The following is a 25,732-nucleotide window of genomic DNA, read 5'->3' as shown; positions in this document are numbered from 1 at the left end:
TGTTTTTACAAATATACCTACAACTTCCTGCCCATTGCAGCAGTCAAAAGATTATAGTTACTTAGTGAATTTTCAGAAGTGATGGAAGTCAAAGGTTGTTCTTATATCAGAAAGGAGAATTGGGATTTTTAAATTGATGCTGTTCTAACTGTTGAGCATACTATCAAATTGAGACCGAGGTCTGGAAAGATAATAGTAGATTTACCCACCCCAAAATCTTTAACTCTCCCCTGATCCCTGAAATAAATGAAACAATAGCATAAGCAGTGTAAACCTAGTGAATAATTAAAGGAACAAACAAAACTATGAAGAACATCTGTAACAATATTGACGAAGTATCCTCACAAACCTAAAAGATTTGGAAGCCTGAACCACACACTGCAACAATCCCTGGTGAAGTCAGCAGTGATTCCAGGAGAAAGTGGAGCAGGGAAATCAGATATTATTCTGATACCCTTGATATTAGGAGAAATTCCATTGCCAACTGGTCCTCATTTACAACTGAGTAATTGGATTATGGGGGCAGTTTCCCCATGCTGTTCTCATGGACAGTAAATGAATTCTCACAAGAGTTGATGGTTTTATAAATGGTAGTTTTTCCAGCGTTTGCACTCACTTTCTCTCCTGCCACTTTGTGAACAAGGTGCCTGCTTCCCCTTCCACCATGATTGTAAGTTTCCTGAGACTTCTCCAGCCATGCAGAACTGTGAGACAATTAAAACTCCTTTGTTTATAAATTACCCAGTCTTGGGTACTATCTTTATAGCAGTGTGCGAATGAACTAAATCATCCAGTCTTCCACTGATGGGCATCTAGGTTGATTCCCTGTCTTTGCTATTCTGAATAGTGCTGTGATGAACATAGATGTGCAAATGTTTTTATGGTAGAACAATTTACATTCCTTTGCTTATGTACTCAGTAATGTGATTGCAGGGTTGAATGGCAGTTTTGTTTTAAGCTCCTTGAGAAATCTCCAAGCTGGTTTTCGTGTGACTGAACTAATTTACATTCCTACAAGCTGTGTATAGCGTTCCCCTTTCTCACAACTTCTCCAGCATCTGTTATTTTTTGACTTTTTAATAATCGCCATTCTCACTGGTGTGAGATGGTATCTCATTGTGGTTTTGATTTGCATTTTTCTAATGATTAATAATGTTGAGCATTTTTTATATGCTTGTTGTTCATGTGTATTTCTTCTTTTGGGAAGTGTCTGTCTATGAACATTGCTCATCTTTTAATGGGGTTGTTTGTTTTCTTCTTGCAAATTTGTTTGAGTTCCTTGTACATTTTGGATATCAGACTTTTGTCAGAAGCATACTTTGCAAATATGTTTTTTCCGTTCTGTAGGTTGTCTGTTTACTCTGTTGACAGTTTCATTAGCTGTGCAAAGCTCTTTAGCTTAATTAGGTCCCACTTGTCAATGTTTGTTTATGTTGCGGTTGCTTTTTGAGTCTTTGTCATGATATCTTTGCCAGAAATAATGTCCAGAATGATATATCCTAGGTCTTCCTCTAGGATTTTTATAGTATTAGGTTTTACATTTAAGTCTTTAATCCATCTTAAGTTGATTTTTGTATATGGTGTAAGGAAGGGGTCCAGTTTTAATCTCATGCATATGACTAGCAAGTCATCCCAACATCGTTTATTGAATAGTGAATTATTTTCCCATTTCTTTTTATTGTCAGCTTTGACAAAGATGAGATGGCTGTTGCTGTGTGACTTAATCTCTGGGTTCTTTAATCTGTTCCGTTAGCCTATGTATCTACTTTTGTATCAGTACCATGTTATTTTGCTTACAATAGCCTTGTAGTATAGTTATAAGTCAAGTAGTGTGATCCCTCCAGTTTTGTTCCTTTTGCTTAGGGTTGCTTTGGTTATTTGGGTTCATTTTGAGTTTCATATGAATTTTAGAAATTTTTCTAATTCTGTGAAAAATGTCATTGGTAGTGTGATAGGAATAGCATTGAATCTAGAAACTGCTTTGGGCAGTAGGGCCATTTTAATAATATTGATTCCTCCTATGCATATGGCTCAACAATTTTAATCAGGATATGATCTCATGATGTGTCTTATCTTAAAAACAAAAAGTTGTATCATTCTAGTAATAGGCAAAGAAACGAAGACTGTTTGAGTAGTAATGAGTAGCCAGAGTGCCCAGAGTTTCATATCTAAATATCTTTTTTTATAGAAATAGGTAATTTCAGGACAAGTAATGTATAACCCTTAAAATCTCTTATAAAAGAAGACAAAACACTACCTTACACTATTAGGATATATTATATAGACTCAGGAGACAATATGAAGAAGTTCTTATTGGCCAAATTTGAGATTATTTTAGCATCAGTGAGAATCTTAACAGTGATGGATTAAATATGTTTAAAACTATGAATTTAAATGGATACTAAAATAAAATCCCCTTTTGCCTTCTTTGAAGGAGAGTTCAGGAAAAAAATCATTATATTGAAAGTAGAGATAAATAATTGAGCATTTTTCCTGTCTTTTCTATAAGGTCTGTTTTTCAAGTTACATGAATAGTTGATAAGATGATGTTTTCCATTAAATATATTCTAGGGAATAAGTGAATGTCATCTCAAAATGCCAATGAAATAAGAAATCTAATGAATGATCAGCAATGATGGCCAAATTCATGAAAAGAGAGAAAGTTAACACACGGCATCTGATAGATGTACATGACATCACCAATAAAGTATTCTTGCCAAAAATAATGGAACCCGAATTTTATCAACCTTAGAGCTCCAATTACAAATAAGCAGGAAATATATAGACAGTAGAGAGTAGAGCATCATGTTAACCTACTCCATAGAAAAGCAATTGCAAACAAATCCTGACTGTGAGAAACACTATCAGACAAAGTTTCTGGTTCTTTCAAGAAATGAACTGCAAGAAAAAAAAAGGTAAAAAAATAGAGTGAGGAAAAAAAGATTTAATGTGTGATTCTTAATTTATAATCTTTACTAGATTTCTGATTTTAATAAATTATTACAAGATATTCTGTAACAATTGGGGAAATTCAAATACTAAGTACTTGTTTGTATTCAAGCAATATTTGTGATAGTGGTATTGCTGTAAATCAAAAAGTTATTTTTTAGATACACACACTGAACTACTTAAAGGAAGTTTTTATGATATCTAGGATTTGCTTCCAAATAACCCAGAGAAAGTACAGGAGGAAGAAACAAAACTGACAACATGTTGACATTTCTTGAAGCTGTGTAATGTCTACATTTCAGTTCATTAGGTTATTTTATATCTGTATATATAAATATATGTTTTAAAAATTTTTGGCCGGGCGCGGTGGCTCACACCTGTAATCCCAGCACTTTTGGAGGCCAAGGCGGGCGGATCACAAGGTCAGGAGATCGAGACCATCCTGGCTAACACGGTGAAACCCCGTCTCTACTAAAAACACAAAAAATTAGCCGGGCGCAGTGGCGGGCGCCTGTAGTCCCAGCTACTCGGGAGGCTGAGGCAGGAGAATGGTGTGAACCCAGGAGGTGGAGCTTGCAGTGAGCCGGGATAGCGCCACTGCACTCCAGCCTGGCCTAAAGAGCGAGACTGCGTCTCAAAAAAAAAAAAAAAAAATTTACAATTAAAAAGTTTCTGTAAACATTCAGAGCTTTTTATCACCTGTAAAATTTAAATGTATAAAAATGATGCACCGGAATCATACCTTGGAAGGAGAAGGTTTAAGAACTTAGTCACTAAGACACTAATTAGAAATAAATATTATGGAATGTCTGTCTACGTTCAGTTATAGTCTATTTTCTATTCAAAAAATTTTATCTTCTTAATGTGTTACTTTTGTATTCAGTACACCTGAGCAAGATATAGCATATTATAATAATCTATAGTGGCACTCTTTGTTAGACTAGGAAAAGGAAATTTGTGTAATGTGGAAAAACCATCCAGATAAAATTGTACCATCTTAAAGTGGCACAACCTCTCCTCCATACTCCCAATGCCATTCAAAAATCTCTCACACTGTGGGACAGAGACAACTACACGGCTCTTTTAGATGACTGGGCTTTAGTATCTTAGGTTGGTTTATAAACTCACTAAGAAGAGATTATTTAACTATGGGAATTTCTTTATGGGTAGAATATTATCTACTTTAAATTTAAATAATGCTAGAAACATTTTTTTCTTTTTTCTTTTTTTTTGGCTGAAGTTTTTGTGAGAAACTGCTAACATATTTTACTTGGAGGAAAATAAGAAAACCGAAGTACATTTATTTTGAATACTTTTATACCATTGTCTTCCCATGCATTTAGGGAAAGAACACCTACAAAGTAAAAAGAAGAGAATCATAATTGTTTTTCAAATCTTTGACTTACTTCTTATCTAATGAGCTTTTTCCTTCACACGTAATCCACTAGCCAACACATTCCCCATAAACCAGCAAGTTTATTCCAATAATAAGCATAGTTGACCTTGATATTTATTTTTTCCAACAAAAATGTGTTGATTGATTTCCACTCACTCACAGATCACTGTACATTTTTTTCTTAGAAAACCTGTTGTTTTTATGTCATAATTTTTGTTTTTATTTTAAATTGACAGATAAAATTGTATGTATTTGTCATGTACAACATGATGTTTTGCAGGATATATACAGAATGATTAATTCTATTTATGAGAACAAGGTTTTGGGGTCCCACAAGAGTGAAATCTTGCTATGTTTGTCTTTCTGTGCCTGGCTCATTTCACTTAACATAATGCCCTCCACATTCATCCCTGTTGTCACAAGTGCCAGAATTCCCTTCCTTTTATGACAGAGTAGTATTCCACTATACACATATTCCACATTTTCTTTATCCATTCATTTGTTGGTGGTCACGTATGTTACTTCCATGTCTTGGCTATTATGATACAGCTGCAATGAACATGAGAGTGCTGATATCTGTTCAGCATGCTGATTTCAACTCCTTTTGATATATGTCCAGTAGAGAACAGTATACATTTTGTCAGCATTTCTTAAATTTTTGTCAACTAACCAAGCTAACCTTGATTCTTTCAGTTTTAACTTTTCACTGAAATTTCCAAATGCACCTGCATCTTTCCTCACACTGATTTTGTCTAATATCCTATGACTATTTCTGCCAATCTTATCAATTTTTCCACATCTACTAACAACAGCTTCTATCTGTTAGCTGTTGTCCTCCTTTTCTTATTCTAGCAAAAAGATTCTGATATGATCTATCAGAAAAAGAGATCCAAAGGACCATTTTTAAAAGTTGAAGTGATTGCTTGATGCCATTTTTAGTCACTTTGTGATATAAATTTATCTTGTTGGGTTTTTATAATATTTAGAAATACTAATAGTAGCAATATTTAGGATATGGTTTTATAGATGTAACACATTTTAATTTGTTATTTTGACTTTTTATACATTCACAGGGAGTTTTAAAGACAGCCTAGAGAGGCTGCTTGTACCCTTCACCCAGTTTTTTCCATTGGTTACACTTGATGTAAGTATGGTAAAATATCATTGCAGAAAATTGACATTGGTACAAAGTGTGTGTATAGTGTGATGCCATTTTATTGCATGTTTAGATTCTGGTTACCAACACCAAATGAAGGTACAGAACTATTTTGAAAAACTATTCCATGACCACAACTCCCTCGTACTACTCCTTTATAGTTACACACACACCCCTAACCCACGCAATCCACTAATCTGCTTGCCATTTTAATCCTTTTGTCATTCAGTGGCATCACTCAGTATGCAATTTTTGACACAGCCTTTTTCCTTCAGTGTAATGTTCTTCATATCAGTTCAAGCTTTGGTATATATCATTAGTTCATTCCTTTTTACTGATGAAAGTATATCATGATATGGAGGTACAAAAGTTTGCTTAATCATTCAACTATTTAGAAACATTTGATTATTTCCAGTCTTTGGCTATTACAAATGAATTTGGTATGAATAATTGTGTATGGATCTTGTGTAAGCATGAATTTTTATGTCTCTAGAATAAATGCCCAGGAATACAACCACTGGTTAACATGGTCAATTTCTGTTTGGTTTGATTTTTAAAAAATGCCAAAGCATTTTTTTCAGAGTGGCTTTATGACTTTATATTCCTTACAAAAATATATGAGCGATCCGTTTTCTCTTTCTCTTTACCAGCATTTGGAGTTATCAGTAACTTTTACTTTAGCTCTCCTAACATTGTAGGACATTACATTGCTAGGATGATTTTCATTTCCTTAAAGTTTAATGATGTTTAACATTCTATCAGGTGCTTATTTGCCATCCATATAGCCTCTTTAGTGAAATGTGTCTTCATTTTTTTTTCCATTTTCTAATTAGTGGGTTTTTTTAAAGTGAAGTTTTGAGAATTCTTTATAAATTCTAGATATGGGCTCTTTATCAGGTTTGTGGTTTGAAGCTATTTTTTGCCAGCTTGTGGCTTGTCTTTCATCTTCTTAACAGAATTTTCAAAGCTAGTGTTTAATTGATTTTTGATTGATGTTTTTGGATGGACCATGCTTCTGGTGTTCATGTCTAAGAAGTCTTAACCAAACTCTAGGTCCTAGTATTTTCTCCTATATTTTATTCTCAAAGTTTTATAGAGTTAAAGGCTGAAATTAAATTTATGTTCCATTTTGAAGTTTTCTTTATTTTTTTCTTTTACATGAGGAGTGAAGTTTAAATCAAGGTTTACTTTTACCTGTTGATATCCAATTGTTACCAGCACCATTTTTTGAAAAGACTATCCTTCCTCCATTTAATTGCTTTTGAATATTTGCCAAAAATCACTTGGTCATTTTTGTATGTGACTATTTTAGGGCCATCTCTTCCGGTCCATTGATCTATGTATCTATCCCTCTGCTGATACCACACAGTTTGATAACTGTGTACTGTTATCTTGAAAATCAGGTATAATGATCCATCCTGCTTTATTCTTTCTTTTCAAAATTGTTTTTGCTATTACATTTTTTTGGCTTGATTCTATAAATTTTACAACAATAACGTCTATATCCACAACATATCAAGTTGAAATTTTGGCAGGAATTTCATTAAACTTATGTATCAATTTGACAATGACATCTTCACTATTTTGAGTGTTATAATCCATGAACACAGTATGACTTTATTTACATTTTTATTTATTTCACCAGAATCATTGAGTTTTCGGGTTAAAGTCCTGTAGGTGTTTTAAGTTTATATCACAGCATTTTATCATTTTTTGAGCAATTGTAAGTAATATTGGAATTTTATTTTTAGTTTCAATGTATTGCTAGTATATAGAAATACAAAGCAATTTTTGAATGTTGATCTGTATTTTTGTGGTTTTTGCTGAACTTACTTATTAGTTCTAGGAAGTTAGTTTTTATATTCCTTAAGATTTTCTATGTAGGTGATCATGTGATCTACAAATAGGGACAATATTATTTCTTCCTTCAGACTCTTTTGCATATGTTTCCAAGTCATCTCGCACTGTTTAAAAATGTCAGGACTATGTTCACAAAAATTGAAAAGAGTAAACATCTTGCCTTGTGTCTAAACTCAAGGGTAAAGATTCACTCTTTCACCATTATGTATGAAGTTAGCTGTAGTTTTTCTATTTTTCTTTATAGATCCTCTTTATTAAGTTCAGAATGTTCTTTCCTACTATTAATTTTCTGAGAGTATTTATTAATCATAAATGTGTGCTGAATTGTCAAATTATTATTCAGGTGATTTTTCCTTTTAGCCTGATAAAATAATGGATTTTACTAATTGCTTTTAAAATGTTGAAACAGCCTGCTTGCCTGGAATAAGACCCCTTGGTCACAGTGTATATTTCCTATATATGTTGCTTAATTCTACTTTACAAAATTTTTAAAAACAGTTTTACATCTATATTTTTAAGACATATTGCTCTGTAGTTTATTTATTTTTGCCTTTTCTTGTTTTGATTCTGCCTTTGCTAATTTGGGAACAGTAGTGCTAGCTTCATTAAAATGAATTGGTAAGTGTTTTATCTTCTTTCATTTTCAGGAAGACGTTGCATAGAATTGGTGTTCATTTCATTTTTTAATATTTTGATAAATTATAGTTGAATATATTTATGGAGTACAAAGTGGCATGACAGTTCAATATAATGTAAAATGACTAAATTAAGCTAAATAACATATTTATCACTTCAAATATGCAACTATTTTGATGGTGAGACCATGAGAAATTTACTCTCAGCAAAACTGAAATGTACAGTACTCAGTTATTAACAATATTCAGCATATTGTGCTACTGATTTAAAAAATAAAGCAAATGTATTCCTTCTAACTGAGGCTTTGTACCCTTTGATTATCATCTTCCCATTCTCCCCAGTCCCCAGCCTTTGTAACCACCTTTCTATTCTATTCTAAACGTTTCTTTTTAGATTTCATATATAAGTGAGAACATTTGGAATCAGTCTTTCTTGTTTCTGGCTTATTTAATTTAGCATAATATTCTCCATCTATATTGTCACAAACAACAGAACTTCATTTTTAAGGCTAAATAGTGTTGCATTTTCCATATATATTACATTTTCTTTATTCATTCATCCCTTCATAGACACTTAGGTTTATTCAATCACTTGGTTATTTTGAACAGTGCTGGAATGAACATATGAGTTCAGACATCTATTTGACATATTGATTTCAAATCTTTTTGATAAATACCCAGAAGTGGGATTGCTGGATCATATGGTAACTCTCTTTTTAGTTTTTTGAGGAACCACCATATTGGTTTCCATAATAGTTGTACTAATTTACATTCCCACCATTAGTGTATGAGGGTTCCCTTTTCTCATATCTGTGCCAATGCTTGTCTTTTGTCTTTTCTTTAATAACAACCATTCTAATACAAATAAGGCCATATCTCATAGTGGTTTTAGTTTGCATCTCCCCAGTGGTTAGTGATGTTGAATTTTTTTGATGTATCTGTTAGCTATTTGTATCTTTGGAGAAATTCAGTTTCCTTGCCCATTTCTTAATCAGATTATTTGTTTTATTTCTTTAGAGTTAGTTGAGTTCCTTATGTATTTTGGATATTAATCCCTTATCAGATGTATGGCTTGCAAATATTTTCTCTCAGTCTGAAGGTTGACTGTTCACTCTTGTTTCCTTTGATGTGCAGAAGCTTTTTACTGTGATGTAACATTACTTATCTATTTTTGCTTTTGTTGACTGTGGTTTTTGAGTCAAATTAAAAAAAAAAAAGTTACCCAAACCAATGTTAGATAGTTTTCCCCCTATTTTCTTCTAGTAGTTTTACAGTGTCCAGTCTTATGTTTGAGTCTCTAATACTTTTGAGTTGGATTGTATACATGGTCTGAGATAAGGGTCCAGGCTGATTTTTTGCATGTGGATATCCTGTTTTCTCTACAACGTTTATTAAAGAGACTGTCATTTTCCCATTGTATTTTTGCTCTTAAATGTTGGGTAGAATTTGCAAATGAAACGATCTTGTCCTATAGATTGCTTTTTTGAGAAGTTTTTATGTTATACTTTCTATTTCCTTAATAGTAATAAAGCTCCGAAATTATGTATTTGATATTGGACAAGTTGAGGTAGTTTGTCCTTTTAATGTAATTGATCCATATTATCTAACTTGTTCATTTATGTGTAAAGCTATACATATAGTATTACTCCCTTAATGTACTTTTGGTTTTTCCAGGGTCTGTAGTGACGTCCCTTCTTTCATAGTAATATTGGTAATTTATGTCTTCTCTGTTTTCTTTCTCAATCTTTTTAGAGATTTGTCAGTTTCATTAATCTTTTCCAAGAAACAGATTTTTGTTTCATTGATTTCCTCTATTATTTTCTGTTTTCAGTTTCATTGATTTCTGCTTTACTTTTCTTCTGTTGCTTTAGGCTAAAATTGCTTTTTCTCTAGTTTTTAAGTTGGAAGCTGACATTATTGTTTCAGATCTTCTTCTCTAATTTTGTTGTTAATGCTGTAAATCACCCTCTAGACATTGCATTTGCCACATCTCACATTTTGATAAGTTGCATTGTCATTTTCATTTAAGTCAAAATATTTTTAAGTTAGTCTTGAGTCATCTACTTTGGCTTATGTGTTATTTAGAAGTGTGTTGTTTAATCGTCAAATATTGGAGGATGTCCCACATCTCACTGTGTTATTGAGTTTTGGCATAACTCTATTGAAGTCTGAGAATAGACTTTGCATGATTTCTGTTATTTTAAATATGTTAATGTGTATTTGTTGCCCAAAACGTAATTTTTCTTCATGAATGTTCGACATAAGCTGGAGGAGAATTTGAATTCTCTTGCCACTGGATGGATAATTCTATAAAAAGCCATTAGAACTAACTGATTTACAGTGCTATTCAGTCAACTAAATGAAATTTTTGCCTGCTTAATCAATGTTACTTAAAAAAAAGGGTGATAAAGTCTCAAACTACACTCTTACATTTGCATATTTTTATCTTTAACAACTATCAAGTTTTGCCTCACAAATTTTGACTCTCTTTTTAATTGTGTACATGTTAAGGATTGTTAAATTGCTTTGTAAAACGGATCATTATTCCTGATAATCTTCCTTGTTTGGAAGTCTGGGTTTTTTTCCTTGAAATTTATATAGCTAACCCAGTCTTTTTATTTTTATTTTTTTAATTTGTGTTAGTAAAGTATATCTTTCTCTATCCTTTTAGTTAAACTATTTAATTCTTTATATTTAAAGTGGATTTCTGATAGTGTATCAGCATACACTTGGGTATACTCTGAAGCTCACTGTCTTTTAATTGGTATGTTTAAGATTATGTCCACTTGAAATAATTATTGAATTAATATTTACCATACTTAAGCATTTTCAATGTGTTGCATTTGCTTTTGTTTATTTTCCCCTCTTTTTCTGTCTTAGTGGGTTTTAATTGAGCATTTTATCTCCTTTCCAAGCATATCCACCATACATTTTTAGAAATAGTAATTGCCCTAGAGTTCATAATATATCATTTTAGCTGATCTAAATCCACAATCAAATAACAATAAACCACTTTACTTGTATAGGGACCTTGCAACAGAGTACTCCCAATTACTCTCTCACCTCTTATGACATTGAAATCATTCATTTAACTTATCTATATGATATAATCACTTTATAATTGTTACTATTATTATTTTAAACAGCTATATTTTCAGCCAAGAATTAAACAAATAACACATTAAATATATCTTAATGTATTCCCCCTCCTGTGCTCTCCCTTTCTTTCTACAGGTATGCATTTGTGAGTTATATTCTTTTCCTTCTCCCTGAAGAACTTTTAACATTTCTCACAAGTCATATTTTCTAGTGATGAATTCCCTCAGTTTTTGTCTAAGAAGGTCTTTATTTATTCTACATGTTCAAAGGATAGTTTTGCAGAACATAGAGAACGGTAAGTCAGTGTAATTTTTTTCCTTTAATATTTTAAACATTTCACTCCACTCTTTTCTGGCTGGGTTGGTTTTTGATGAGAAGTCTCTTGTAATTTTTATTCTTGTTCTTCCATATTTAAGAAGTTTTTTCCTCTGGTTTATTTCAAGATTTTCTCTTCACCATTGTTTTCAACAATTTAAATATTCCTAGGAATAGATAGGTAATTTTAGTATTTTGTTTGGCATTGATTGTTCATTTTGGATCTGTGGTTTGGTATCTGTCACTAATTTGGGAAAGTTCTTAGCTATCATAATTTCAAATATTCCTTCTGATCATCTTTTTTTCTTTGTAAGGTAGTCCACATACCTGTATGTAATAGTTTTGAAATGGTCTCACATTTCTTAGATGTTTTGTTTCTTTTATTCCTTTTGCTTTTTATATTTTAGTTTCGTAATATTTTTTTCCTTGGCTATGTCAAGTCTACTTATTAGAACAGCAAAGATATTCTTCATTTCTCTTACAATGTTCTTGATTCTTACATTTTCTTTTAATTCATTTTTAGAGTTTCTATCACTCTTCTTTCATTAACCTTCTGTCTATATTTTTCTGTTATGTTCCATATTAAACATAACTATTTTTAAATTCTCCATTTGATAATATCAAAATCTGTGTCATAATCTGATTCTTATTTTAATTTTTGATTTGTCTCTTCAGACTGTGTTTTGCTTATAATGGTGTTGGTGTTTCTTTTTTTTTTTTTTGGTTGTTGTTTATGTCATTTTTTTTGGAGGCTGGACGTATTGCATTGAGTATAAACTAAAGATGAAATAGACCTTACCTTTTGGGATATATGTTAATTTGGCTAGGAATTGGGCTTTATAAATACTTTCTCAGTTATGGTTGTCAAAGGCTCTCATAGTTTCCTTTTTTTTTTCTTATCCTTGTTCCCTTGACTTTTGGCTTCTCCGATGACTTGTCTTCAGGGAAAATCTGTGTCTTATAGCTCTTTCAACTCTAGCTACTGATATTTTACTGGAGCTGCGTTGATGCAGTGGGAAGGGTCAGAGAGGAGAATCATTCTACAACCTGATGATGAAATTTTTTTCTTCCAAATGGGCCTCTGTGTGTGGTCTGGGACCTTCACAAGTTTTTCTCCAGAGATATTCTCTTAGGTGATGCAGGAAAGCTAAAGGGAACTAGAGTGAGAGAAATACCATTCTGCATTTGATACAAAACTGTAGTGGTCTTTTGCCTTGTAGAGTAGGTTTTCTAATGAAGATTTCTCAAGACCTGTTTCACAATGATTACTCTTCCCCTCCCTCTTCTCTTTCTTGGATTTTACCATCAGAATCTGGTCAGTTCCTGGAAGTGAAACCCCCTCTAAAACTGCAGCACCATGAGTTTCTCATTCTTATGCTATTCTACACTTTGCCTTCACCAATTTGAGAACATCAACAATTCATTTTTTCTATAGGTCTGTAGTTCAGGGCCTTCTTCTCCACAGAAGCAATCTTGACTGTCGATCTCCAAATTGGCCTGTCTCCCCAGAGTTTTATATTGATGATAAAACTGGCAGCTTCGGTTATTGGTAAGTACAAAAAAAATCATTGATTTTCAGTGTGTCCAGATGTATTTTGTTGTAAAAACTAGAGTAACAACATCCAAATTCTTTACCCATTAGTGCTGAAATCAAACTTTCCCCTCAAATCTGTTTTTAAAATTTTTTTGGTAAATATTCAGAACCATCTATTCAAATTAAATGAAGTGTTATAGTGAATATACTGTTGATGAAAAGAGTCAAACTCTGTAAAATATTTGAAAATATTTATTTTGAGCCAAATAAGAGTGACCATGGTCCATGACACAACACTCAGGAGGGCCTGACTACAATGTGCCCAGGGTGGTCGGGTTACAACTTGGTTTCATATATTTCAGAGAGGCATGAGACATCAACCAAATACACTTAAGAAACACATTGATTTGGTTCAGAAAGGTGACAACCCAAAGTGGGTGGGGGGGCTTCCAGATTATAGGTAAATTTAAACGTTTTCTGGTTGACAATTGGTTGAGTTTGTCTAAAGACCTGGGATTGATAGAAAGGAAATGTTCAGGTTAAGATAAAAGATTGTGGAGACCACGGATCTTTTGAAGTCTTATAGTGGCTGCCCTTAGAGACAACAGATGGCAAATGTTTCCTATTCAGATCTTTAAAAGTTTCTAGACTTTTAGTTAATCTCTTTAGGACTGGGAGGGCCTGGAAGAAAAAAAACTAGCTATCTTAATAGAGATTCTTTACAGATACAGAGTTTCCCCCACAAAGGACATCAGGGAAATGCAAAAATCAAATATTTTGATTTTCTTCCTTGTCTCATAGTGTTATGCCAGAGTCAGATTGGAAAGTGAGTCATGATATATAGGGTTAAATAAAACCCATCTGATGAGAATTTATGGTTTGTAGGGGATGACTCCCCAGACCCCTTAGATAGGAATTTGGGTAAGATAAAAAAATCAGAGCTTAGTCCTCAATATATATAACATTTGCATAAAATTACTTCAATAAAAATAAAAACCAGAATTTAACTTTTTGAAAATAAACTTTTATAGTATTTTTAATAAAAATAACACTATTTGCAATTCTATTGTGTTCATTTTGTTGTCAATATAAAGAATCGGTATCATGTTGTATGTATGCATATCTAGTCCTATATGTGTACATAATTAACAATAGTGTAAATTTTTAATACTGCAAAATATTTTCAGCTGCCAGTGATAACTGTTGCAAATACTATGCCAATTGTCAATACTTCTTGAACCACAAGCTACAACATAAAGTAAACAAAATGGATATTTGGCTCTACTGATTAAGAATACTTTGTTATCTAAAAACGTATTCCATTCATGAATTGGCAAGTGTCTAATGTGTTACTTAATTTGTCTTTTCTCTTACTCAAGCACTTAAATATTCAAAATCCTCCCTATTTTTAATATAGTTAAAAGAAGAAATATTAATGGCGTTGGCAAAAGACTCAAGCTCTGTAAAATATTTGAAGAGATTTATTCTGAGCCAAATATGAGTTAGGAGATCCTGTGAACATGTGCCCAAGGTGATTGGGCAATAGCTTGGTTCTATACATTTTAGGGAGACAAAAAACACCAATCAATACATGTAAGATGAGCATTGGTTCTGTCTGAAAAGGCAGGGGACAACTCAAGGTGGTGGGGTGTGTGGCACTTCCAGGTCATAGGTGAATTCAAACATTTTCTGACTGACAATGGTTGAAAGCATTTATAGTTTATCTAAAGACCTGGAACCAACCGAAATAAGTGTCTGGGTTAAGATAAGGGGTTGTGGAGACCAAGGTTCTTATTATGCAGATGATGCCTCCAGGTAGCCTGCTTCAGAGAGAACAGATTTAAAATGTTTCTTATCAGACTTAAAAATACGCACTTTGGGAGGCTGAGGTGGGTGGATCACGAGGTCAGGAGATCAAGACCATCCTGTCTAACATGGTGAAACCCCGTCTCTACTAAAAAAATACAAAAAATTAGCTGGACGTGGTGGTGGGCGCCTGTAGTCCCAGCTACTCAGGAGGCTGAGGCAGGGGAATGGCGTGAACCCAGGAGGCAGAGCTTGCAGTGAGTGGAGATCACGCCACTGCACTCCAGCCTGGGCAACAGAGTGAGACTCCATCTCAAAAAAAAATAAAAATAAAAAAATACACCAGACTCTTTAGTTAATTCTTTCCTTTATCAGGAAAAAGCCTGAAAAGAGAAGGGGATTCTCTCTAGAATGTAGATTTTCCCCAGAAGAGACAGCCTTGCAGGAACATTTTAAAATACATCAGGGCAATATATTTTGGGCCTGCTATCTGTCATGTTGGCATTTTATTGCTACAGAGTCTGCTTTGTTAGTCTTAAGGTCTCTGTTTCAATGTTAATGCTGGTCAGCTATGCCTGGATTCCAAAGGGAGGAAAGTATAACAAGGCATGTTCAACCATCCATTCCCATCTTGGCCTGAACTAGAACTTCAGCTTTACCTTAAAATGCCCTTAGCTGAGAGGAGTCCAGTCAGTTGGTTGGGGGGTGCTTAGAATTTTACTTTTGGTTTACAACTGCATTCAGGAAAAACATATCTTGTTTTACGGATAGAGGAGAATAGATATGAAGAAAGGTTTACTTAGGTGTGAATGGTGTTAGTCACATCCTTGAGGCCTAGGGTCCTGAGTCTTCCTTTGAAAACTGAGTTCTGGATCCTGCATGACAGATTAGCCATATGCTCTTTAGTAAAAGCATGTCTGTTTGTTTGTGATCTGTGGGATCTACAAAGCCTGGGACCCATGGAGGGATGTCCCCTGATTAGGTCTAAGTATGATAGTGCTTGAAAAATCTGTGTGTGTAATCTATGTCACTTTTCCCTTGTTTTAAATATTTAAAACAATGTAAGCAGAATTTATATCTTTAGCATAGTAATATTTCCACTAATGTGATATGTCTCCCAACTTATTTAAGTTTTCTGTAATGTACATTATTCACTTTATATGTTTTTATATGTAGGTCTTATATGTCTTACATTATTCATTATTATGCATATTATATAATATTTAGGCATTTTAAATATTTTTTGTTTTTTTGATAATGCTGCTGTATAAAAGTGTCACTCACTAAATTGAATAGATTTGTATCTGGCAATTTTACTATTTTTTTATTAAATCTATCAGTTTGGGATTCTTCTGGATTTTCTACATAGATGAATGTCTCATTTAAAGAGTGACAGTATTTTATTCCTTTCTTATATTCCTTATACTTTAGGGTTATCACTATTTTTGTGTAGCTAATGCATCTGTTCTACACTGAAAAGAAATTAAACATTTTTGTCATGTTCCTGAATTTACAGGGATTTAAAAAAATTATTCTTCTCTATTCAATAAATTTGCTGTAGCTCTTTTGAAAATGCACTTTATTGATTTGAAGAGTTCCCATTGATGTAGAGACAGCCTTTTGAAAAAATATATTTTCTGTATTTTATTGCTCTTTTCTTTTTGTTTCCTAAGTGATGCATTTCATCAAATTATTATCTTTTGCATTTAATGAGATGGTCGTATTTCTCCTTAAATTTCTTAAGGACATATTTTTCTAATGTTGAAAATACCTTCCTTTTGCATAATAAACTCAATAAGGATAAATAGTTATTTCCAATACTAGTTATTTCCTATGATATTTTTATATATCATTGATTCCTGTTGCTAATTTTTAATTTAATTACTTTGCATCTGTGTATTTGATTAAAATTGCATATTTTTATATTCCTTTTCTATTAGGAGATCAGTTGTACTAGCCATATAAAATGAGCATACTAAGCTATTCTGCTTGTGGAGAAAAGTCCAGTATTTTTGTTCTTTTAGTGTAGAATTCATTGTTTTTAATGTATTTACAAGGTTGTGTACTTTTCCTCGATATCTAATTCCAGAACAGTTCTGTTACCCCAGAAATAAACCTATACCCATTAGCAGTCATTCCTCATCACCCTCCCCTTGATATATCTTTGAATTCTTTAATACTTAGATTGCTTGTTTTATTTTGAGTTGGTCCTGGAAAATTTTAAATTTATATAAATTTTCAAATTTATTGGTACCAAGGTTTTCAGGGTCTTTCTAATAACTCCAATTCCTGAAGCCTCTGTTGGTCTATTTCTATTGACTATTCTTTCTCTGATTTTCAGGCATGTTTTCTTGCCCCTTCTCCTATGAGTGATTTATTTTTATTGTGGGTTGAAGAGTGCATTTGAAAAGAGTTTTTACAGAAATAAATTAAAGCCTCAGATGGTGTTATATGTCTCTAGAGAGCATCTACATTTGCTTCTGTCTGCAACTGTGGTCACTAGTTCCCCGGGCCATTCTAAATTAATTTTGGTGCTGGAGATGCTGTGAGGCTGAGAAGCAATCCCCGCTGAGGGTCTGTCTGCATCAAGTGAATCCTTACTCTTAGCCAGTGGCTGGTCACTACCTTGGCAATCCCTAGCGGCAAACTAATGTCCCCACAATGCCTTGAAGTCAGTGGTCAAAATCCTCCCAAACTGGACAATTAAGGAAAAAGGAGGTATATGTTCTAGTATTCTGTAGCACTGGAGGATGACTCTAGTTGAAAACACTTTATCATATATTTTCAGAGAGTTAGAAAAGAAGAATTCAATGATTCCCAACACACCAAAAAATGATATGTTTGACATGATGGGGAAACCATCTTTGTAAAAAATTATAATAGTCAGAAAATTATGACAGTGAAAGAGATGTGCCTTTAACCTCCAAACTACCCTTGGTCATTCCTGGACTTGGGCCAATCTAACTAGGAGAAATTTAGTTTATAGTTTAAATGATAGTAGCCCCTCCCTCAGGCTATACTGCCTTTATAAATCTAATGAAAGACCACCAGGTTAGGAGGATGAGTTTCTATAAGTTGTAGGTGTAGTTAAATGATTACCAGCCATTATTCCAGAGGTCACAAGGTTTGCAACTTCTCCAATTTACTAGTCTAGAACCCAAGACTGGCCTTTTGATATGTCTTTTCTGGCTTTTGCAGGCTTTTGCCTGCAACTCTCCACTCAACCACTCCTGTGACCCTCACCCAGAAGTGGCCTCAGTGCATGAAGGCCATTTTCTGCACCCCTAAGATTGCATCTCCTACCAATTAGAAACATCCATATCCTAGCACCCTACCTACCAAACTATCTTTGAAAAACCCTAGCTTCTGAATTTCTGGGAAGGCTGATTTGTGTAATAATAAAACTCTGGTCTCCCATTTAGCTGGCTATACATGTATTAAACACTGTCTCTATTGCAATTCCCCTGTCTTGATAAATTGGCTCTATCTGGGCAGCTGGCAAAAGGAACCTGTTGCATTGTTAAATGGATATGCTAATTTCCCTGATATGCCCACTATACATTGTACATATCAAAACATGACTATGTACTCCATAAATAAATGCAACTATTATGTGTCCAATAAAAAATATATTTTTTAAATGGGTCACACATACAGCATACACGGATATACTGCAATCTTCTACCAGATCCATCCTATATTACTAACTCTCTCATTGCCTTTAAGTATTTGGTTTTATTATCTGTCAGTCTTGTGTGTGTGTGTGTGTGTGTGTGTGTGTGTGTGTGTGTATGTGTGTGTTGGGAGGGGTAGCAGATGTAAAAGTCCTTGCATTATCATCTCTATTTTTTATTAATATTCTATTTTTTATTAATATTTTGCCACGTTGATCTTATATTTTTTAACACTTCAGCTTTGTTGAACCCTCCCTTGTGCCTTTGTTTTCCATTTTAATTCCCCATTGTAACTATTTTTTCCCTCTACTGCACATTCCTTAACATTCAAACTAATTTTAAGTCTTGCATTTCCCACATTACATTAAAGGCTATACATTTCTCTCTGTCATACAAATTTTTATATTTAATATTTTCTATATTACCATATTGTGTACATTTATATGTCTTCCCATTATGATTTCCTCTTTAAACCATGAGTTACTTAGAAGATTTCCTTTAATTTCCAAATATATAGGAGTTTTAATGATTTCTTTTGTTACCAATTATTAACTCAATTGTGCTGTCATCAGATAATATAATATATGTAATACCAGTACTGGTTTTATGGACTGGATTTGAAAGGAAGACATTTTCTCCACCTGCTTAGTGCAGTGTTCTATCTGCAGCCACAGTGTGAGTTTCTGTAAGGTGAATTCACTCATGGGTGATTTGTTAATAAGGGAGTTAGTTTAGAATGGAGTAAACACTGTGTTGGTTCATCCACAAATATTTTAGACAAGAGGGGAGAGAATGATGGTAGGATCATATCTTTATTGGGAAATAGAAGTCTTCAATGTTGCTGCCATGCTGGCAGGAAAAGCACTACTGCATGTATCTTAAGAAAACTAGAAACAAGTGCCAGGGTCCTTCTCAGGGCCACAACCCTCTTCCTACTGTGCTGCACTCTTGCTCCATTGCCCTGCCTCCACAGACACCCTAAAGGAGCACGCTGGCTCATGCTCCTCCCAACTGCCAGTTTGTACCCACCAGCTCTGCTCCAACAAAACTTCAATACATTTCCACTCTATTGTTCTGGAGCATTTTTAGCAACCACTGTGGCAGCATGTGCTCACATGAATATATCTGGATGGGCAGACAGATTATCCCCTCCAGTCTCATGTATTCCTTTCTGTTTGGTCCTCTTGTTACAAAGCTGCATAGTTTTGTACTGTCTTCCACAACTCTTTGTTCTCATAATCCCTGTTATCTTTTGAATATATTTTTCAGAACAATATATTTTTCAGGAAGTAGACAGTGCTTCAGTGCAGATATATCTATATAACCTGCAGTTTCACCTTGCAGTTTGTGTGGTTCAAATCTTTCACACACTTCCTATCGACATTAAAGACAGCTGCATTGAAATTACCCCAAAGATGGCTTCTATCTTCATATTTCATGTGATGTTGAGGATTGTGGTATCATGATCAATAAAATTTTATCTGTGGGATTTTTTGAGGCTTTGATTTGGCCCTTCTTTTTGTCATACACCTGAGAAGGGTCACCAATGGGACCTTCTTAAAGTTAATTCCAGATATGTCAATTTCTCCTTGTAGTTCTTTCATTTTTGACTTTATATATTTTAAAGTTATGTTACTATGTTTAGGTAAGTTTAGGATTGTTCTCCCCTCCTGGTGAATTAAACTTTCATGTTTGATCTCAAGAAAAGCTTTTGGTCTTAAAGTCTGTTTCGTCTTAGACTAATAAAAGTTCACTACTTTTCTATCATTTGCCTTTTAAAATCTGTTATTCCATCTGGAATCTTTGCTACTTTGTTATTGGTTGATGTGGTTTGGATTTGTGTCCCCACCCAAATCTCATGCCAAATTGCAACCCCCAATGTTGGAGGATGAGTGGTGGGAGGTAATTGGATCATGGCGACAGATTTTCTGCTTGCTGTTCTCATGATAGTGAGTGAGTTCTCATGAGATTTTGTTGTTTAAAACTGTGTAGCACATCCCGTTTCTCTCTCTTCCTCCTGCTCCAGCTATATAGCACATGTCTGATTCCCCTTTGACTTCCCATATGATTGTAAGTTTCCTGAGGCCTCCCCAGCCATGCTTCCTGTACAACCTGTGGAACCATGAGCCAATTAAACCTCTTTTCATTATAAGTTACCCAGTCTCAGGTAGTTCTCTGTAGCGATATGAGAACAGACAAAAACACTGGTGTTTATTGTTTCTTCTAAAATTTGCTCACAATGGCTTATATCTTCTTATTTCATGTGACTTTGAAAATTGTGATATCACAATCAATAAAATTTGATCTGTGGGATTTTTGAGGTTTTGATTTAGGCCTTCTTTCTGTCAGATAACTAGGAAGGGTCACCAGTGGGAGCTTCTTAAAGTTAATGCTGGGCTTAGGTCTTTTGGCATTAGAAGTAGAGTGGATTCTAGTCTAAAAGATGCCTTGTAACCAGCCTGTCATTGGAAATGCTTTATTAAAGCTGTTTTCCTCCTTCCATATAAGCCAAAACATCAAAGTTTCCCCACTGTCTCATTCTTTGGTTACTTTCTTCTCTTCATAGTTAGTTCTTTCCTAGAGAAAATCACCTTTTGGAAATTGTTTCTGTGGGAGATTCCCATACTGATTTCCCACCTTCTCAGGACCTAGACTTTCTCTTCTTTTCCTCGTGAAGCCCATTTAAATGCAGATACTTGGGCTATGGAGGATCAAGGAGGCTGTGAGCCCTTGGCTCTGTGGCTTCAGTGCCTGTCCAATTCATTGTTTCTGCCTCTCTGGATTCCTCTTACTTTGTTGTCAACTCAACTCTACATAAAGAGGATATTTGTATCCAGTTTTTTATTCTTTAATTTGTAATGTATTACAAAGGCTATTTGGGCAAGTAGTCTTCTACATTGCTGGAATTAGATGTCTGATTATAGCTGCACTTTATATTACTAATACTTTATATTAGTATCTGTGGTCCTGTATTTTAAAAATTTCAATAACCATAACATATTATCATGAGAAAGTATTACTTTAAACATAACATTATTTTTTAAATAAAACCATTCACTATACTGAAAAAAAAACATAGAAAAAATGTAATACTGATTATTAAGCACTTTATAAGTTTGTATGCCTTTAAGAAAAATAGTTATTTTTATTTCTCTAAGAACATATAATGCAGGCATTTATGAATACTAAATAAACTTAAATATATAACAACCACACAATGAGTATAAATGCTGAACTCTGATATAGTGGATATGTGAATGAATTCTTTTCTTTGTGAGCATTTAAATTTTTTTTCTTAAATTTTTACAATGATTGAGGAGTTGTTGGAAGCAAAGCGTAACCCACAGTGCTAAACGTGCATTCAGGCCTCAATTGTGTAATTTTCTACAACCATCCCTATGCTCAGTGCATTCCTCAGAGATAGTTGGTAAGTATATTGCCAGTGTTAGGCAACATAAAACATTAGTCTCATTTTCAAAAATAACATTTACATTGAGAGTGAAAATTTTAACTATTATGAAAAAGCCTTATGCCCTAATGTCATGGCAAGGAATTAGCTCGTGCTGAAATAATGGCTTAGTATTTTTGAAGCCATGAAATTTCATTTCAAGGTCTGAGGTGACTTGGTATTTTTGTTATATTTGATTTTATTCACAGAGCAGAACTTAACAACATTAAGAACCAGGAATGAAAGTCTTTGAACTGAGCTGATATGCCTTCTTCTTTTACATGGCTCAGAATGAATGCAGTCTACAGTCTTTCCTCCTCATCCTCACATCCACAGACTCTGCTTTTGCTCAGTGGTGTGGAAACAGCACAGAGCTGGAGATCAGAACAACAGATTTTGAATAACTTCTCCATCACTCTCTGGCCTACTAGAAAATATGGTAGGCTTTCTTAGCCTCATAATTTGAAGAGTTGTTATGAAGAGTATATTCTGCTAAATGAGAAAACAGTGGTTTGTAGAATGTAATGGAACCATGGAACCTTTAATATAATAGGTTTTTAATATCATAAGTTGATTCTAGATCCTGTAATTAAATTGTAAATAGATTTGGCCTTGTGTGCACCCACTCGACTTTTTTCTATTAAATCTGCTATTGGCCTATTTTCAGTATACAGACTTAAGGTAAGAACATTACATGACAGCACATATTATGAAGGTGCTAAGTAAGAGTACAAATAGGTGACTGGGTTTTATTGCAAAGGTCAGGAAATAGAGTTTTTAAGATTGATTCTGACATATAATATATATATAGTGCTTTATCCCTTTGGGCTGTCTTCCCAGTGATTGAAAAAAATGACTCCCCTTCATTAATACTTCTTTCATCATAGGCCAAGGTGGTTTTATTACACTTTTCCTACATGAGATTTTACATCATCAATATGAAACAAATTATGGTGTGTACCAGTATATTAACCATTCATAAATGAGTAATATTTAAATATGTAGTCATATCATGATGAAGTTTTACTTTTATTAATTAATATGTCTACACTAAGTTGAATCATCGGCTTAAAAATCAACTTCTTTTGGTGTCAGCCCATTTGTTTCATTTGTTTGTCAGCCCATTTGTTTCATTAATTTTCAATACTAATAAACTTATAAATATATATATATTTTATAAATTTACCCTTGAATTGCTTTTCTCCCAAACTCAATAAATAAGTTTTCTACTTCTGTTAAATATTAACAGGATACTATCTGGTATGTTGACTAGTCTCTGATGTAACAAACCTCTTAGTGATGGTTCTCCAAATGCTATTCTGGCATGCATTCTGGAATAAATGCATCCAGTAATCTCTAAAATCATTCACTAAGTTACACTTTTTGGGCAATTGTTGACATAAAATTTTAGCAACTTTCCTCTTCTTATGAAAATAATTCTCAGACATTAAGAATTTTAATTTCTAATTCAACATTCAAATAGCACGATCCATGGTTATTTTTCTTAATTGCCAACAAAGTTGTAATTACCATATTCTAGACCCAGAAAAAATGTTCCTTTAATTATACTGTCTAGTATACACCCCTTCAGATAAAATCTAAAGCAAATTTGTCTAAGTAATTTATAACAAAAGGATGTGATAGATTCGAAGCAACCTGCTTTCATCCCCTAAGTCTGTTGCTACTCTTAACAGTATAAATTTATGGAGTCTACTTATTTCCCTCATGCCAGACTCTTATAACAACCTAATATGTGATTATTGAAAAAATAAGTGGGACACTTCTTTCCTTCAGCAATGTATTATCTTACTGAAAAGATAGTTCTACATTTCAAAAGAAGTTGAGTAAAAGACAACATGTGAAACAAAGAGATAAAAACACATGGAACTAGAAGTGATTAATGAGAGGGAAGGTAAAACTAAAACATGAAAAGAGATCAGCAATATGTAAAAAGGTCATTTACAAATGTTCCTATCCTTTTGTGGCTTTTAAAGATGCTTACATGGAAAGATACAGAAGGAGCAAATCAATCTAGCCAGCCAAATCAGCTGACCCATTGAAAACAGTCCTTGGAATGACAGGTGTCCAAGCCATCTGTCAGTACCAAAGAATCAGACATTTTTCAGGAGGGAAGACCCACCTGAGCCATGCTCCTGAGTGAGATAGACACTCTCTGGCTTTCTGTAAAAAAATTCCTTGATTTTACAATAAATCTTGATAGATTTGTTAATACATTTTACCATAAATAAGCCTATTCTAGTGAAAGTTATCACTAATTCAGTTTTGCAATTAAACTGCATATTACTCATAAGAAGTTTTTTGCATTGATCCTTGTTATCCATGTGGCAGATGCCATGTGAAGAGTTAGCTGAGATTAAATTTAATTAAATTCATAATCTCCTTCTGAAAACTTTCTAGAAAGTTTGAAAGTGATTGGATTTTAGTCTCAGAAGATATGTCTCTGCCTATAATCTTTTTGAAAGGAGAGAGCTTGGATTCGATGAGTACCTAGAGTTCAACAGTTTCTCTGGATTGATAATACTTTTAAAATTATTTTTTAAATTAAGCTATAATTTATCACCTTTGTTATAAACCTAATTGATCCTTATTATTGTCACTTGAAATAACAATTATAATAAAATGTCAGGATATCTTAAACTAATCTCAACCTTTCATCTATGCCTATAGTCTATATATATATAGTCTATATATATATATTATATAGAGAGACTACATATATATAGACTATATATATAAAATATATATAGTATATATATATAGTATATATACACATATATATATTTATATACACATTTCTCTATGCCCCTTGTTCACACTTCAAACTGAGGTATCCAATATTAAAATGTCTTGTTCTTCCTCATACAACTTTTCCCAGATGGATATTTTAACTTTTATTATAAAAAAATAAAAACATCAAAATCTCCTGAAGAATGTAATCTTCTAAAAGTCTCAGCTGATTGTTCTGTTTTTGTCTTGTGACTTCCACTCGATTGTAATTAAAGGAGTGGTTCCTGCCCTAGGAGACAGGGCCCCAGGAGAATGATCTTCCGGGACTGGTGCACATGTGGCCATCTGGTGGTCAGCCCAAGATGAGAACCCACCCTGCAAAGCAAACTCAGTCTACAGCATTTTGATTCTCAGAATTGGAAGAGGAAAACAGATTTCTTTGCCTTTGCCTTCAACGCCACTGGACGTGCCACTAAATGAAGTCAAATGAGGTCTCTTTGAGACATCCAGGTAGCTGAGTTGCGAGACAGTTTCCCCTTGCTTCTAGCATGTTACTATTCTATAGTATCCTCAGCTTTGTCAGGGTACTGGAGTTAAGCCCATCTCACTTGCAATTTTTTGACTTGGCTATTCTCTATTTGCCAGGTCCCTTTTATTTTTATTTTAAGTGTCCAACCCTAGGGTGGACAATTGAAAAGGCCTTGCCAGATCCCAAATAACACTGTTATTAGAGATATAGGCTTAGTATTGAATCAAGTCAAGCCAATTACATTACACAAAGAACACCAAGGAAATTACCAGGAGCAGAAAATAAAACACAGTAGATGAGTGCACGAAATGTATTTTCTTGACCCCAATTTTCCAAGTACATAGAAAATTCAAACACTTGTGTCCCTGTAGGTGAAAACTGTTGTATCATCCAGTCCAAAGTGGTTTTCTGACTATTTTACTGGTCCACATAAACATAAAGAGAATATAAAATTTTGATTTTTTTCATTTTTTATTTTTATTTTTATTTTATTATTATTATACTTTAGGTTTTAGGGTACATGTGCATAATGTGCAGGTTAGTTACATATGTATACATGTGCCATGCTGGTGTGCTGCACCCA

At 33.7% G+C, this 25,732-nt stretch overlaps 1 protein-coding gene and 2 long non-coding RNA genes across 23 annotated transcripts in view; 2 read left to right on the top strand and 1 right to left on the bottom strand.

Annotated features, from left to right (window-relative positions):
- The window catches only part of SNTG1 (syntrophin gamma 1), an 886,897-nt gene that overhangs the window by 556,639 nt on the left and 304,526 nt on the right, over nucleotides 1–25,732 (bottom strand). The window lies entirely within an intron of this gene.
- On the top strand, nucleotides 2,828–11,316 carry LOC105375829 (uncharacterized). Its single transcript, XR_001745896.2, has 3 exons — nucleotides 2,828–2,915; nucleotides 5,419–5,489; nucleotides 11,231–11,316. It is a non-coding gene; the product is annotated as an uncharacterized LOC105375829 (long non-coding RNA).
- LOC124900619 (uncharacterized) lies at nucleotides 11,305–22,163 on the top strand. Its single transcript, XR_928863.3, has 3 exons — nucleotides 11,305–11,390; nucleotides 12,846–12,959; nucleotides 22,082–22,163. It is a non-coding gene; the product is annotated as an uncharacterized LOC124900619 (long non-coding RNA).

Source organism: Homo sapiens, chromosome 8, assembly GCF_000001405.40.
Source record: "Homo sapiens chromosome 8, GRCh38.p14 Primary Assembly".
Classification (NCBI taxonomy): Eukaryota; Metazoa; Chordata; class Mammalia; order Primates; family Hominidae; genus Homo; species Homo sapiens.
The sequence above is the reverse complement of the archived record's forward strand: the minus strand, read 5'-3'. Positions and strand labels throughout refer to the sequence as shown.